The following is a 16,879-nucleotide window of genomic DNA, read 5'->3' as shown; positions in this document are numbered from 1 at the left end:
AAGGGTGATAAGATTGATGTATGTAAAGGGTTTGGCACACGGTAAGTGCTCAAAAACCAAGCACCCACACTGACCACCTAGGCCAGGATCACAGTTCTAATGTCACTTTTTTAAGAAAACCCCTGACTGCCTATGATGGTTAATACTGAGTGTCAACTTGACTGGATTGACGGATAGAAAGTATGAATCCTGGGTGTGTCTGTGTGGGTATTGCCAAAAGAGATTAACATTTGAGTCAGTGGTGGGGAAGGCAGATCCCCCCTAAATTTGGTGGGCATGATCTAATCAACTTCCAGCGAATATAAAGCAGGCAGAAAAACATGAGAGAGATGAGACTGGCCTAGCCTCCCAGCCTACATCTTTCTCCCATGCTGGGTGCTTCCTGCCCTCGAACATTGGACTCCAAGTTCTTTAGTTTTGAGACTGGCACTGGCTCTCCTTGCTCTTCAAGCTTGCAGACAGCCTATTGTGGGACCCTGTGATCGTGAAAGTTAATACTTAAGAAACTCCCATGTTTATATATGTGTGTGAGCGTGTGTGTATATATATATCTGTGTGTGTATACATACACACACACACACACACACACACACACACACATCCTATGAGTTCTGTCCCTCTGGAGAACACTGACTAATACACTACCCATCCCTGGAAGAGAGTATCAGCTTCCCCTGAAATGCTCTCAGCTTCTCATCTTCTCACACTTAGTGGAACTCTACATTGGTCCAACCTTCCTGGAGGACATTTTGACAAACAGGGACTTCAGTGATCTTAGTTGTACACAACAGAATACACTCAGCTACTTTTAGCAGAAAGAGATTTATTAGGAGACTAGATAGCTTGCAGACTCATTGGGAGGTAGAAGTAATGCATCCTAGGCTGGGCTTCCAGGAATGAGTTCCAAAAACACAATGCCGGCCTGGCTGCCAACAGAACTGCTGCCTCTGCCTTGATCACAAAGTTCCAGAATACGAATGATCACCATAACTCTTGGCTCCAGAGCCATGCCCCTCAGTTCTGATCTGTGCTAGCAAAATGGGGGCCCCACCCCCCTGCCATTCCCCTGAATCACTAGCTTTGACTCACACTTGCAAAAGTTCATCTCATTAGCGGAGCCTAAATCATATCTAGAATCCATGCTGGAGGGAGGTCTCAGTTGTTAGCTGTCTAATATCTAGACATCCTAAGAGGAGGTGGAATATGTTTTGAACTAGCCAAGCCAACAAATCAACAGCCATAAAAATGTTACACCCTTTGATCTGTTAAATACCTTCCTAGAAATCCACATGAAGGAAATGGAGATATAAGCATGTATTTGTGTAGGAAGTGGAAGGAAAGGAGGAATGAGAGAGGGAAGGGAGAGAATAAACAAGATACAGGAACAAAGGGGTTGATTAAATAAATTTTGGAACATACCTGTGAAAGAATTTGTTGGCCAATAAAAATGAGGTTTTTGCATCGTATGTTCTCACTTATAAGTGGGAGCTAAGCTATGAGGAAGCAAAGGCATAAGAATGACATGATGGACTTTGGGAACTCAGGGGGAAAGAGTAGGAAGAGGGTGAGGGATGAAAGACTACAAATAGGGTGCAGTATATACTGCTGGGGTGATGGCTGCACCAAAATTTCACAAATCACCACTAATAACCTACTCATGTGGCCAGGCATGGTGGCTCACGCCTGTAATCCCAGCGCTTTGGGAGGCCGAGGCAGGTGGATCACGAGGTCAGGAGTCGAGACCATCCTGGTTAATACGGTGAAACCCCATCTCTACTGAAAAAAATACAAAAGATTAGCCGGGCATGCCGGGCGAGGTGGCTCACACCTGTAATCCCAGCACTTTGAGAGGCTGAAGCGGGCAGATCACGAGGTCAGGAGATTGAGACCATCCTGGCTAACACGATGAAACCCCATCTCTACTAAAAATACAAAAAATTAGCCGGGCGTGCTGGCGGACGCCTGTAGTCCCAGCTACTCGGAAGGCTGGGGCAGGAGAATCACTTGAACCCGGGAGGCAGAGGTTGCAGTGAGTCGAGATCGCGCCACTGCACTCCAGCCTGGGTGACAAAGTGAGACTCCATCTCAAAAAAACAAACAAACAAAAAAAGGAACCTACTCATGTCTACTCACATAACTAAACACCATCTGTTCCCCAAATAACCTATGGAAATTTTAAAAATTTTAAAAATATAAGAATAGAAAAATAAAAAGAGGCTTTTGAATAATTTTAGAATTTACAATGACATAGTATTAAGTCAAAAAAGATTTTAAAAACCAAACTGTATGTATAGTATGATGCCAGTTTTATAAAAGGACACAAATATGCAGAGAACAACATTGAAGGAAGTGGCTCAGAGATGTTTATTGCAGTGTGACTGGAATCACATGGGATTTAAAAATTTTTCTCATTTATACTGTTCTATAGCATCTATACATTCTACCAAGAAGATGCATTACTTTCGTAATTAGTTATAGTAGATATTGAAGGATGATAATACAAAAGGGAGATATTCTCATCTCTCGTGTTCACACACACACACGAATGCCTTTGCCTTGTTGACTCCAGATGGCCAAGCGAGTCTGTGAAACTCCCAAGGGACCTGATTAGAGTCACGCTTTGGGGAGGGCAGGTAACGGCTAACGGTTAATAAGGGAGAATGAAGTCCAATTATGGAGGGTGGGCAGGGATCATCTCTGACTTATCTGGCATGTAACTGGATATCAATAAATATTTGTTCCATACTTCATAGAGAAATGGCCGAAGGGCTTGAAAGCAGTCCGTTCACAGAAAAAGGAATACAGGTGACTTTGAAACAGATGAAAAAATACCCAGCCTCCATCAAAATCAAAGAAATGCAAAATAAAACAAGAGCTATTTTTCATTCAGTAGGCTGGCAAAGATCACAACGTTTGATGAGGACACGGGGTGACTAGAGTAGAGGGAGGAGGTTCTGCCCCGCCCTGCAGGGGGATTTGTTCTATCAGTCAGGTGATAGAACACAGGTGCCCTTTGATCCAGCCGCTCTGCTTCTAGTTTGTCCTCCAGATATAACTGTGCATTGCCCACGTGCAAAAGGGGCATGTACAAGGGTGTCTGTAGTGGTATTGCTTATCTTGACAAAAGACTTAAAGCCAAGTATTTAGCTGGGGTCTGATTAAATAAACCATGGTGCACTCATACAATGGAACACTGTACTAACAAGGAGTAATCTCAAAGATATATTTATAAGTGATAAAATCAAGGGGAAGAGCAAAGTATATAATGCCCTATTTTTGTAAGAAAAATATTTACACATATCATTTGATATGTAAAGCATATTTCTGATGTCCCTGCAGATGGAGGATTTGAGGGTCTGAGTTAGATTCACTATGCATTGTTCATACTTTTGCACCATTATTTAATCATGTTCAGCTTGGTGTAATAGATTTTCAATTTCAATATGTAATTAAAAATGGATACATACTTGTTGAATTAACAATTGGGCTAGAAAGCCACAGAGAAGTATTTGAAAGTGATGAGAAGAGTCATAGGGAGCCACTGATGGCTCTTGAGCAGGGGGTGCAGCATAAGAGTGTATTTAACTAGGAGAGTTCAATAGAATAGCAAGGAGAGGTTGAGAGCAGAGAGTGGAGCCTGGCAAGGCAGACCAACTTAAGGCATCAAAGTCCCCAGGCATCAAAGTAACCAGCTGGGGAACGGTAGGAAGGGTTACTCTCTGAGTTGCCCCTTTCATCCCACTTGGCCTGGCTGATTCTCTGTGTTCCCATCTCCCTCTCATGTCCACAGCTTTCCCAGGTTACTTATGGAATAATTCTTAGCATTCCAGCAGTGCAGATCTGTATTTTTTTTAACCAGAACCTCTGTATTACCACTCTCACTTTCATCTACCGAGTTAGATTTCCTTGTCTTCCCCCTCACTTCCGTTCCTTATATACCATATCAGTAACCCACAGGGCTTGCTCTTCCCTGACACACAGCCTCTCCATTCATTTTACCAGACTCACCCCTGGCTCTCCAATGCAGGGAGACCACTGTCCCAGGCAAAATGGCTGGGAGCCCACAGAGTCTACCTTGAAGCTGTCCCTGAGGTCGGTATGGGGGAACTGGCCCTGTCAGGATAACTCTCCCAAATAATCCCAGTCCTGCAGCAGTTATGTGTCCTGGTTTGTAAAATGTGAAAGCTGGGGTCTAGAGAGAAAGTGTGGATTATTTGTGAGTCACCGGGGCAGGATCAGAACTCAAGCCCATCCTTTTGGGGTTCCATATGAGCAGCCGGTGTGATGTTCCAGCTCCCCAAGCCCTAAAAGAGTTAGGACCATGAAGATGCAGGGGCTCTCTCCTCTTCCCTGCAACCCCCAGTCAGTTTTCTTCTTCTCCTGTCAGCTCCATCCCCTCACACACTCAGTGCCCCTGAGACACCTGCATGGTCCCAAACCTGCCCCTTCAGGGCCTGTATGAGGTCAGATTCCCTGAAAGAAGCAGAGCTTGACACAGCCACTTGGAAGCACACAGTTTTGGGGACAGTGCTCTGTGGGAGAAATTCCTCTATGGGAGAGCCTGGGAAGAAGCTGCGCTGAGCCTGGGAAGAAGGAGGTGGTCTCCGGGAAAGGCTGTCCCACGTCTCAGTGCATGTAACAGAGAGGATGGGAGGGCCACACCTCCTTGCTTATTTACATTTTTATGAAAAAAGACCCTTTTGGTCCTGGCTCTGATTTCCTCCAGGGAAATGGTAACCACTTGACTAATTCATTTTACCAGATCCAGCCCAGGAAGAGACTGGCTACTAACAGCCCATCGTCTCCTGCCCTGCTGCCACTCCCCACCTCGGGAGAGCCAACATCTGACCCAAACCCTGTGACTTACCCAGGCACCTCCGACCTCCACAACTTCCCCTGAGGACATAGAAGAGTCACTTCCTGCTCCCCGGGGGCTTGGGGCCAAATCCACAGCTTGACATTTATTTAAAATCGCTTGTGGGTTTTTTTTTTCTTTAAAATTCATAGTAACTTGGTATTCCATGATAACCGCTTATTATACTCTTAACATCAGAAGGGTAAGATGGTTATTCCCTGTTCTTTTGAAAAAAGTCTTCTATTAACAGGACAATAACACATGGACTCTCAAATGATGGGCAGAGCACATTGTCCTTTAATTGGGCTCAAGTCTCTCACTGCCGGCCTGCAGCATTCCCCTCGAGTATGGACTGTGATACGAGGGCTGGAAGATCAGGAGCACATCAGCTCTGTGGTCGGCCCATTCAGCTGCTCCCACAGGGACCTTGGGCTTCCCTGATTCTCCCCTCGAGCCCACCTGCTGCCAGCTCATCAAAGATACCCTCCCTGTTCACTCCTTCACCTCTCTTGGACCACATCGCCCCCACACACTCAAACAGGCAGTGCTCCCCTCTTCCTGGCCTTCAACCTGGCTCAGCCATTCTGTTTCTCGGCCTTTCTAGGAAGAGCCTCCTGGCTCACCTCCAGCGAGCCCTTAGGCCTGCCATGAGACATATTACAAATGGCCTCCTTCCTGATGTCAGCTCTGCTAGACTCAGAATGAGGTTTTAATGAGTCTTAACCTCCAGAAAGAAGGAATATGAGTTTGCGGGGAAAGAGGGTATGGTGGGGCAGGGGGGTGAAGGGTTGCTGGTGGAGAGATAGTAGGGTTTGAAAGGGAAGAAAAATTCCTATTCTGCCTCACTGCACCTTAATAGATGTACTTATTTTAATTTCAAATGCTGTTTTAAATTATTTACCATGGAGTAAAACGTATGCTCTTGGAGATATTCCAAATTCTCAACCTCGGCACTGCTGACATTTGGGGCTGGATATTTCTTTGTTGGAGATTGTCCTGTGCACTGTAGGATGCCTAGCGGCATCCCTGGCCTCGACCCACTTAGATGCCATGAGCACCACCTCCTCCAGTTGTGACAACCAAAAATGCCTCTAGACTTTGCCAAATGTCTCCTACGGGGCAAAATCACTCCTGGCTGAGAACCACTGGTGTAGTTTCCTGTGTGTCCTAGCACAGTTCCATGTACCAGCAGGGGGAAGGGATAGGAGACCTTTTATTGATCTTCACCTACGGTTACAATGGGGAGTTTCTAGCATCATGGGGAAACACATGTTGGTATGGCACTCTCTATGTCACAGCACAGAGACCTCTACTTTGCCACGTGTCCCCTCCCAGAAAACCTGAAACTGGAACCCCGGCCTGAAGCACTTCCAAAATTCTGAGATTCTCAGCCTCCATCTAACCAGAATTTTTTTTCTTTGTTCTTGGGTTTTTCACCCAGAACTGCCAACAACTTCTACCTCTTAGACTCTTATTGTTAAGTTTACAAGGGCAATAAAAAGCCTCAAAGTGTTTCTGGGACATCAAATAGCCCTTCTTAAGTTAAAAAGAAAGACATGCAGTTGCAGGGCGGGGGAGGGGGGTGGGGACACCCTCCCGCCATTTTGTTTTCTTGCACAAGTGAATTAGACACACATGGAATTTTTCCTTTTGACTGGGCACTATTTTAAGACATAAAGTGAATGTCCTTAAAATATGTCCCAGCCTTTTATGGCCACCTCGGTTCCTAGAAGAATTGGTCTGTGTGTTGCCAGTTGCATAGGGTGTAGCCTAGGATTGTGGGGAAGTCCGTTGGCCAATGAGGAAGAGCCCTGAACAGCATGGCCCAGGACATCTGAGAGTATGGATATTTCACTGAGGGCTGGAGTGGTCAGGAGACACTTTGAAAGAAAGCAAAGCATGGATATTTTTGCAGTTGCACAGTTTCTGAATGTGAGATGCACTTGTACCCCTGTAGGTCTTTGCTCAAGCTGTTCTTGATATCTAGAAAGTTCTACCTCCCTAATGTACTTTCTGTCCCCTAAATATTCCAATTACACCTCAAAATCTTAACTTCCTCTTTCCTAGTGAAATAATCAGACAAGTGAGCAAAGATATGTATAACTCTGTGTGTGGTATATAGTGGTGAAAAACTAGAAATAAGCTAAAATGTCCAATAATAGGGAACTAGTTCAATAAATCACTGTGTGGTCATACAATGAAAAATCACTCAGTCATAAAGAATTGTAGACATGAACAACTGTTGACTTGATTAGATTGAAAGAAGTTAAAAACAGTGTATATAATCCTGTTTTTAGATATATATATATATATAGAATTCTGGAAAAGTGACAGAGTAGGAAGAACCAGGAATCTTTTTCCTCATCTAGATAACAATTGAACTGCCAGAATTTGTCTGATACAACTCTTTTGAAACTCTGGAGTCTATTGAAGCCTTGCAACTTCCAGGGGAAGGCTTAGATGGTAAATTGCAGTTAATTTTGGTCAATTTCAGGTCTTACCTCCGAAGCAACTACCCAGTCCCCATCCTAATCCCAATGGCAGTCAGTTGTGCACATGTCCCTGAAGCTGCTTGATCATAGCTTATTGAAACCAGCATGAGCAAAAAGGACCTTGTCTTCCAAATATGGGGATCTGTGCTCTGATCATTGACTGATGCTTCTGATCATGGAGGTGCAGACACAGAGGCATGCAGCCATTATTGTTGCACCTCCCCTTGTTGCTGCAAGCCCCTCCAACCCAGGCTGAAGCAATTTCCAGAGTAATTAAAGGGCTGGTGCATTTCTCCCCTTTTAATTATCTTCCTCCTTTTTGGGAGCCAGATAGTAAAGACTAGGACATCTAAAGCAACTGCATTAAAGGGGGAAAGTGGAAAGTAACTGCACATACACAGAGAAAGTTGTAGCTCAGAAAATAAGAAGACTTTAAGTTTACACCCCAGGCCAATCCTCAGCACGGAGATAGCCTACAACAATGAAAAAATAAAAAACAGAAAACCAGAAAAAACTGGGAAAGGGGGAAAATTTGATTTCTACAGTTATTACATTATTGAATTAAAATGTCCAATTTTCAACAATGACAAAATCACAAAGCATACAGAGAAATAAGAAAGTGTAGCCAATTTAAAGGGAAAAGTAAATTAACAGAAACTGTCACTGAGAAAGGCCAGACCAGATAGCAGACCTACTAAATAGAAACTTATTTTAAAACTTTCTTAAAGATGTCCAAATAACTAAAGGAAGATATGCAGAAAGTGGAGAAAATAGTGTATGAACAAAATGGAAATATTAATAAAGAGAAAGAAAAATTTATAAAGACACCAAAAAGAAATTCTAGAACTGAAAAGTGCAATAACTGAAATAAAAAATTTACTAGGTGATTCAAAGAGATATTTGAGTGGCAGAAGAAATAATTAGTAAACTTGGACATAGCACAACTGAAATAGAAGGGAAAAAAAATTGAAGAAAAGTGAACATAGTCTAAGGTTCCTGTGAGACACCATCAAGCAGATCAGCATACACACTGATGCAGTCCAGAGGAAGAGAGAAAAGGGAAGATAGATTATATGAAGAAATAATGTCCAAAAACATCCCAAGTTTGATGAAAGTCATGAATATAAACATCCAAGAAGCTTAACAAACTCCAAGTAGGATGAACTCAGAGACCCACACCGAGATGCATCATAATCAAACTGACAAAAGATGAAGACAAAGAAAAAGTTTTGAATGCAACCAGAGAGTAGCAACTCGTCACATACAAGAGATCCTCAAGATAAACACTGGATTTCTCATCAGAGACTTTGGAGGCCAGAGGAAAGTGGACTTATATTCAAAGTTCTAGAAGAAAAAAGATTGTCAACCAATAATCCTGTATCTAGCAAAACTGTCCTTCGAAAGTAAGGGAAACATTAAAACATTCCAAATTAAACAAAAGCTGAGGAAATCTGTTACTACTAAACCTGCTCTGCAAGAAATGCTAAAAAGCCAAAAATGTCCTGCAGCTTTAAATGAAAAGACACTAGACAGTAGACAATAACCGACAGCTATATAAAGAAATAAAGATCTCAGTAAAGGTAAATACCCTGGCAATTAGAAAAGCTAGTATTATTGTAACAACAGTCTGTATCTCCACTTTTTGTTTTCTACATGATTTAAGAGACCAATAAAATTTTTTTTAAGTGTTAGTCTAAAAGCCAAAAACTGTAATTTTGGTTTATAATACTGCATCTTGTTTTTTATATAATTTAAGAAATTGTGCATTAAAAAATAATTACTAGATTATGTTTCAGGATATGCAATGTATAAAATTATAACTACATGATATCAATAACTGAAAAGGGTGGGGACAGAGCTGTACAGAAACAATGTTTTGTGTTTTATGGAAGTTAAGGTCCAATAAATTCAAGTTAAAATGTTATAACTTTAGGATGTTAAGTATAATCCCTGTGGTAACCACAAAAATGAGGTATAGAATGTACGCCCCAAAGAAGAAAAGTGAATTAAAACATTTCACATCAAAAATCATCTAAACACAAAAGAAGATAGTAACACAAAAAATAAGGGCTGAAAAAACACAACAAGGCATTAGAAAATAGTAGAATGACCAAAGTAAGCCCCTCCTTATCAATAATTACTTTAAATGTAAATAGACTAAACTCACTAATGAAAATACAGATATTGGCAGAATAGAAAATATTCTCCAAGAATATGCTGTCTATAAGAGACTGATTTTAGATCCAGACACAAATAGATTGAAAGCAAAAGGATAGAAAAAGAAAAGTAACTCAAACAGAAATCAAAAGAGAACAGAGGAGGTTATACTAATATTAGACAAAATAGACTTGAATTCAAAAAAGTTTATCAGAGACAGACACATATTAATAAAAAGATTCAATACAGTGGGGCCGGGTGCGGTGGCTTATGCCTGTAATCCCAGCACTTTGGGAGGCCAAGGCTGGCGGATCATGAGGTGAGGAGATCGAGACCATCCTGGCTAACACGGTGAAACCCCATCTCTATTAAAAATGCAAAAAATTAGCCGGGCATGGTGGCGGATGCCTGTAGTCCCAGCTACTCAGGAGGCTTAGGCAGGAGAATGGCGTGAACCCAGGAGGCAGAGCTTGCAGTGAGCCGAGATAGTGCCACTGCACTCCAGCCTGGGCGACAAAGCGAGACTCCGCCTCAAAAAAAAAAAGATTCAATACAGCAAGAAGATATAACAATTATGCACATAATGTTATATCATTATATCAGGCCATCAAAATATATGAAGCAAAAATTAACAGAATTAAAGGGAAAATAGACAGTTCGACAATAATTGTTGGAGACTTCAATACCCCGCTCTCAATAATGAGTAGAATGAGGCAGAAGACAAATAAAAAAAACAGAGGACTTGAACAAAACATAAACCAAAATCTACCAGACATACTTAGAACACTCTACCCAAACAATAACAAAATGCATATTTCTCTCGAGTGCACATGGGATATTTTTCAGGATAGATCACATATTAGGCCACAAACTGTCAATAGATTTTAAAAGATATAAAGTATCTTCTCTAACCACAATGATATGAAGTTAGAAATCAATAACAAAAGGAAAAGTGGGAAATTCACAAATTTGTGAAAATTAAACGACACACTCTTAAACAACCAATAGATCACAAATGAAATCACGATGGAAACTGGAAAATATTTAAAGACAAATGAAAACAAAAACACAACATACCAAAAGTTATGAGAAGCAAAGGTAATGCTAAGGGGGAAATGTATGGCTATAACGGCTTATATTAAAAACACAAAAGATCTCAAATTAACAACTTAACTTTACAACTTAAGAAACTAGAAAAGGAACATACTAAATTCAAAACTAGCAGAAGGAAGAAAATAGAAATCAGAAGAGAGATAAATAAAATAGAAAAATAATAGGAAAATAAACAAAACCAAAAGTTGGTTCTTTATTTTTATTTTTTTATTTTTATCATACTTCAAATTATAGGGTACATGTGCACAACGTGCAGGTTTGTTATGTATGTATACATGTGCCATGTTGGTTTGCTGCACCTATTAACTTGTCATTTACATTAGGTATTTCTCCTAATGCTATCCCTTCCCCATCCCTCCACCCCACGACAGGCCCCGGTGTGTGATGTTCCCTGCCCTGTGTCCAAGTGTTCTCATTGTTCAGTTCCCACCTATGAACATGCAGTGTTTGGTTTTCTGTCCTTGTGATAGTTTGCTCAGAATGATGGTTTCCAGCTTCATCCATGAACTCATCCTTTTTTATGGCTGCATAGTATTCCATGGTGTATATGTGCCACATTTTCTTAATCCAGTCTATCATTGATGGACATTTGGGTTGGTTCCAAGTCCTTGCTATTGTGAATAGTGCTGCAATAATAAACATATGTGTGCATGTGTCTTTATAGTAGCATGATTTATAACCCTTTGGGTATATACCCAGTAATAGGATGGCTGGGTCAAATGGTATTTCTAGTCCTAGATCCTTGAGGAATCGTCACACTGTCTTCCACAATGGTTGAACAAGTTTACACTCCCACCAACAGTGTAAAAATGTTCCTATTTCTCCTCATCCTCTCCAGTACCTGTTGTTTCCTGACTTTTTAATGATCGCCATTCTAACTGGTGTGAGATGGTATCTCATTGTGGTTTTGATTTGCATTTCTCTGATGACAAGTGATGATGAGCATTTTTTCATGTGTCTGTTGGCCACATAAATGTCTTCTTTTGAAAAGCGTCTGTTCATATCCTTTGCCCACTTGTTGATGGGGTTGTTTGATTTTTTCTTGTAAATTTGTTTAAGTTCTTTGTAGATTCTGGATATTAGCCCTTTGTCAGATGGGTAGATTGCAAAAATTTTCTCCCATTCTGTAGGTTGCCTGTTCATGCTGATGGCAGTTTCTTTTGCTGTGTGGAAGCTCTTTAGTTTAATTAGATCCCATTTGTCTATTTTGGCTTTTGTTGCCATTGTTTTTGGTGTTTTAGTCATGAAGTCCTTGCCCATGCCTATGTCCTGAATGGTATTGCCTAGGTTTTCTTCTAGGGTTTTTATGGTTTTAGGTCTAACATTTAAGTCTTTAATCCATCTTGAATTAATTTTTGTGTAAGGTGTAAGGAAGGGATCCACTTTCGGCTTTCTACATATGGCTAGCCAGTTTTCCCAGCACCATTTATTAAATAGGGAATCCATTTCTTGTTTTAGTCAGGTTTGTCAAAGATCAGATGCTTGTAGATGTGTGGTGTTATTTCTGAGGGCTCTGTTCTGTTCCATTGGTCTGTATCTCTGTTTTCATACCAGTACCATGCTGTTTTGGTTACTGTAGCCTTGTAGTATAGCTTGAAGTCAGGTAGCGTGATGCCTCCAGCTTTGGTCTTTTTGCTTAGGATTGTCTTGGCTATGTATGCTCTTTTTTGGTTCCATATGAACTTTAAAGTAGTTTTTTCCAATTCTATGGAAAAAGTCATTGGTAGCGTGATGGGGATGACACTGAATCTATAAATTACCTTGGGCGGTATGGCCATTTTAACCATATTGATTCTTCCTATCCATGAGCATGGAATGTTCTTCCATTTGTTTGTGTCCTCTTTTATTTCGTTGAGCAGTGGTTTGTAGTTCTCCTTGAAGAGGTCCCTCACATCCCTTGTAAGTTGGATTCCTAGGTATTTTATTGTCTTTGAAGCAATTGTGAATGGGAGTTCACTCATGATTTGGCTCTCTGTTTGTCTGTTATTGGTGTATAGGAATGCTTGTGATTTTTACACATTGATTTTGTATCCTGAGACTTTGCTGAAGTTGCTTATCAGCTTAAGGAGATTTTGGGTTGAGACAATGGGGTTTTCTAGATATACAATCATGTCATCTGCAAACAGGGACAATTTGACTTCCTCTTTTCCTAATTGAATACCCTTTATTTCTTTCTCTTGCCTGATTGACCTGGCCAGAACTTCCAACACTATGTTGAATAGGAGTGGTGAGAGAGGGCATCCCTGTCTTGTGCCAGTTTTCAAAGGGAATGCTTCCAGTTTTTGCCCATTCAGTATGATACTGGCTGTGGGTTTGTCATAAATAGCTCTGATTATTTTGAGATACATTCCATCAATGCCTAATTTATTGAGAGTTTTTAGCATGAAAGGCTGTTGAATTTTGTCAAAGGCCTTTTCTGCATCTATTGAGATAATCACGTGGTTTTTGTTTTTGGTTCTGTTTATGTGATGGATTACGTTTATTGATGTGCGTATGTTGAACCAGCCTTGCATCCCAGGGATGAAGCCAACTTGATCGTGGTGGATAAGCTTTTTGATGTGATGGTGGATTCAGTTTGCCAGTATTTTATTGAGGATTTTCGCATCAAATGTTCATCAGGGATATTGGTCTAAAATTCTCTTTTTTTGTTGTGTCTCTGCCAGGCTTTGGTATCAGGATGATGCTGGCCTCATTAAATGAGTTAGGGAGGATTCCCTCTTTTTCTATTGACTGGAATAGTTTCAGAAGGAAGGGAACCAGCTCCTCTTTGTACCTTGGATAGAATTCAGCTGTGACTCTGTCTGGTCCTGGACTTTTTTTGGGTGGTAGGCTATTAATCATTGCCTTAATTTCAGAGCCTGTTATTGGTCCACTCAAGGATTCAACGTCTTCCCGGTTTAGTCTTGGGAGGGTGTATGTGTCTAGGAATTTATCCATTTCTTCTAGGTTTTCTGGTTTATTTGGATAGAGGTGTTTATAGTATTCTCTGATGGTAGTTTGTATTTCTGTGGGATTGGTGGTGATATTCCCTTTATCAATTTTTATTGCGTCTATTTTATTCTTCCCTCTTTTCTTCTTTATTAGTCTTGCTAGCAGATTATCTATTTTGTTGATCTTTTCAAAAAACCAGCTCCTAGATTCATTGATTTTTTTAAGGGTTTTTTGTGTCTCTATCTCCTACAGTTCTGTTCTGATCTTAGTTACTTCTTGCCTTCTGCTAGGTTTTGAATTTGTTTGCTCTTGATTCTCTAGTTCTTTTCATTGTGATGTTAGGGTATCAATTTTAGATCTTTCCTGCTTTCTCTTGTGGGCATTTAGTGCTATAAATTTGCCTCTACACACTGCTTTAAATGTGTCCCAGAGATTCTGGTATGTTGTGTCTTTGCTCTCATTGGTTTCAAAGAAGATCTTTATTTCTGCCTTCATTTCGTTTTACCCAGTAGTCATTCAGGAGCAGGTTGTTCAGTTTCCATGTAGTTGTGCGGTTTTGCGTGAGTTTCTTAATCGTGAGTTCTACTTTGATTGCACTGTGGTCTGAGAGACAGTTTGTTGTGATTTCGGTTCTTTTACGTTTGCTGAGGAGTGCTTTACTTCCAACTATGTGGTCAATTTTGGAATAAGTGTGATGTGGTGCTGAGAAGAGTGTATATTCTGTTGATTTGGGGTGGAGAGTTCTACAGATGTCTATTAGGTCTGCTTGGTGCAGAGCTGAGTTCAAGTCCTGGATACCCTTGTTAACCTTCTGTCTCATTGATCTGTCTAATATTGACAGTGGGGTGTTAAAATCTCCCATTATTATTGTGTGGGAGTCTAAGTCTCATTGTAGGTCTCTAAGGGCTTGCTTTATGAATCTGGGTGCTCCTGTATTGGGTGCATATATATTTAGGATAGTTAGCTCTTCTTGTTGAATTGATCCCTTTACCATTATGTAGTGGCCGTCTTTGTCTCTTTTGATCTTTGCTGGTTTAAAGTCTGTTTTATCAGAGACCAGGATTGCAACCCCTGCTTTTTTTATTTTTTTATTTTTATTTTTATTTATTTATTTATTTATTTTGCTTTCCATTTGCGTAGCAGATCTTCCTCCATCTCTTAATTTTGAGCCTATGTGTGTTTCTGCACATGAGATGGGTCTCCTGAATACAGCACACTGATGGGTCTTGACTCTTTATCTCATTTGCCAGTCTGTGTCTTTTAATTGGGGCATTTAGTCCACTTACATTTAAGGTTAATATTGTTATGTGTGAATTTGATCCTGTCATTATGATGTTAGCTGGTTATTTTACCCATTAGTTGATGCAGTTTCTTCCTACATCGACAGTCTTTACAATTTGGCATGTTTTTGCAGTGGCTGGTACTGGTTGTTCCTTTCCATGTTTAGTGCTTCCTTCAGGAGCTCTTGTAAGGGAGGCTTGGTGGTGACAAAATCTCTCAGCATTTGCTTGTCTGTAAAGGATTTTATTTCTCCTTCACTTACAAAGCTTAGTTTGGCTGGATATGAAATTCTGGGTTGAAAATTCTCTTCTTTAAGAATGTTGAATATTGGCCCTCACTCTTTTCTGGCTTGTAGAGTTTCTGCCAAGAGCTCCACTGTTAGTCTGATGGGCTTCCCTTTGCGGTTAACCCAACCTTTCTCTTTGGCTGCCCTTAACATTTTTTCCTTCATTTCAACCTTGGTAAACCTGACAATTATGTATCTTGGGGTTGCTCTTCTCAAGGAGTATCTTTGTGGTGTTCTCTGTATTTCCTGAATTTGAATGTTGGCCTGCCTTGCTAGGTTGGGGAAGTTCTCCTGGATAATATCCTGAAGAGTGTTTTCCAGTTTGGTTCCCTTCTCCCCATCACTTTCAGATACACCAATCAAATGTAGATTTGGTATTTTCACATAGTCCCATATTCTTGGAGGCTTTGTTCATTTCTTTTTACTCTTTTTTCTCTAAACTTCTCTTCTCACTTCATTTCATTAATTTGATCTTCAATCACTGATACCCTTTCTTCCACTTGATTGAATCAGCTACTGAAGCTTGTGCATGCGTCACGTAGTTCTTGTGCCATGGTTTTCAGCTCCATCAGCTCCTTTATGGTCTTCTCTACACTGTTTATTCTAGTTAGCCATTCATCTAATCTTTTTTCAAGGTTTTTAGTTTCCTTGCGATGGGTTTGAACATCCTCCTTTAGCTCGGAGAAGTTTGTTATTACTGACCTTCTGATACGTACTTCTGTCAACTCCTCAAAATCATTCTCCATCCAGCTTTGTACTGTTGCTGGCGAGGAGCTGCAATCCTTTAGAGGAGAAGAGGTGCTCTGCATTTTAGAATTTTCAGCTTTTCTGCTCTGGTTTCTCCCCATTGTTGTGGTTTTATCTACCTTTGGCCTCTGATGGTGACCTACAGATGGGGTTTTGGTGTAGATGTCCTTTTTGTTGATGTTGATGCTATTCCTTTCTGTTTGTTAGTTTTCGTTCTAACAGTCAGGTCCCTCAGCTGCAGGTCTGTTGGAGTTTGCTGGAGGTCCACTCCAGACCCTGTTTGCCTGGGTATCACCAGCAGAGGCTGCAGAACAGCAGATATTGCAGAACAGTAAATATTGCTGCCCAATCCTTCCTCTGGAAGCTTCATCTCATAGGGGCACCTGGCTCTATGAGGTGTCAGTTGGCCCCTACTGGGAGGTGTCTCCCAGTTAGGCTACGTGGGGGTCAGTGACCCACTTGAGGAGGCAGTCTGTCCGTTCTTAGAGCTCAAACACCGTGCTGGGAGAACCACTGCTCTCTTCAGAGCTGTCAGACAGGGACAGCTTAAGTCTGCAGAAGTTTCCGCTGCCTTTTGTTCAGCTACGCCCTGCCCCCAGAGGTGGAGTCTACAGAGGCAGGCGGGCCTCATTGAGCTGTGGTGGGCTCCACCCAGTTAGAGCTTCCCAGCCACTTTGTTTACCTACTCAAGCCTCAGCAATGGTGGATGCCCCTCCCCCATTTAACTTAAGAAACTAGAAAAAGAACAAACTAAACCCAAAACTAGCAGAAGGAAGAAAATAGAAATCAGAACAGAGGTAAATAAAGTAGAAAAACAATAGAGAAAATAAACAAAACCAAAAGTTGGTTCTTTATAATATCAACAAAATTGATAAATCTTTAGTTAAATTGACTAAAAAAAGAGAGAAAGGGATTCAGTTATTAAAATCAGAAACATAAGTGGGAACATTACTACTGATTCTACAGAATTAAAGGAGATTATAAGAGATTTTTATGAACAATTATACACAAACAAAT

The 16,879-nt window shown here is 40.9% G+C and overlaps 1 long non-coding RNA gene across 1 annotated transcript in view; it reads right to left on the bottom strand.

The window, feature by feature from the left end:
• LOC107984788 (uncharacterized) overlaps nt 1-16,879 on the bottom strand; it is a 34,565-nt gene that overhangs the window by 499 nt on the left and 17,187 nt on the right. The window lies entirely within an intron of this gene.

Source organism: Homo sapiens, chromosome 15 (genome assembly GCF_000001405.40).
Source record: "Homo sapiens chromosome 15, GRCh38.p14 Primary Assembly".
NCBI classification, from domain to species: domain Eukaryota; kingdom Metazoa; phylum Chordata; class Mammalia; order Primates; family Hominidae; genus Homo; species Homo sapiens.
Note: the sequence above shows the minus strand (reverse complement) of the source record. Positions and strands in the feature narration are given on the sequence as shown.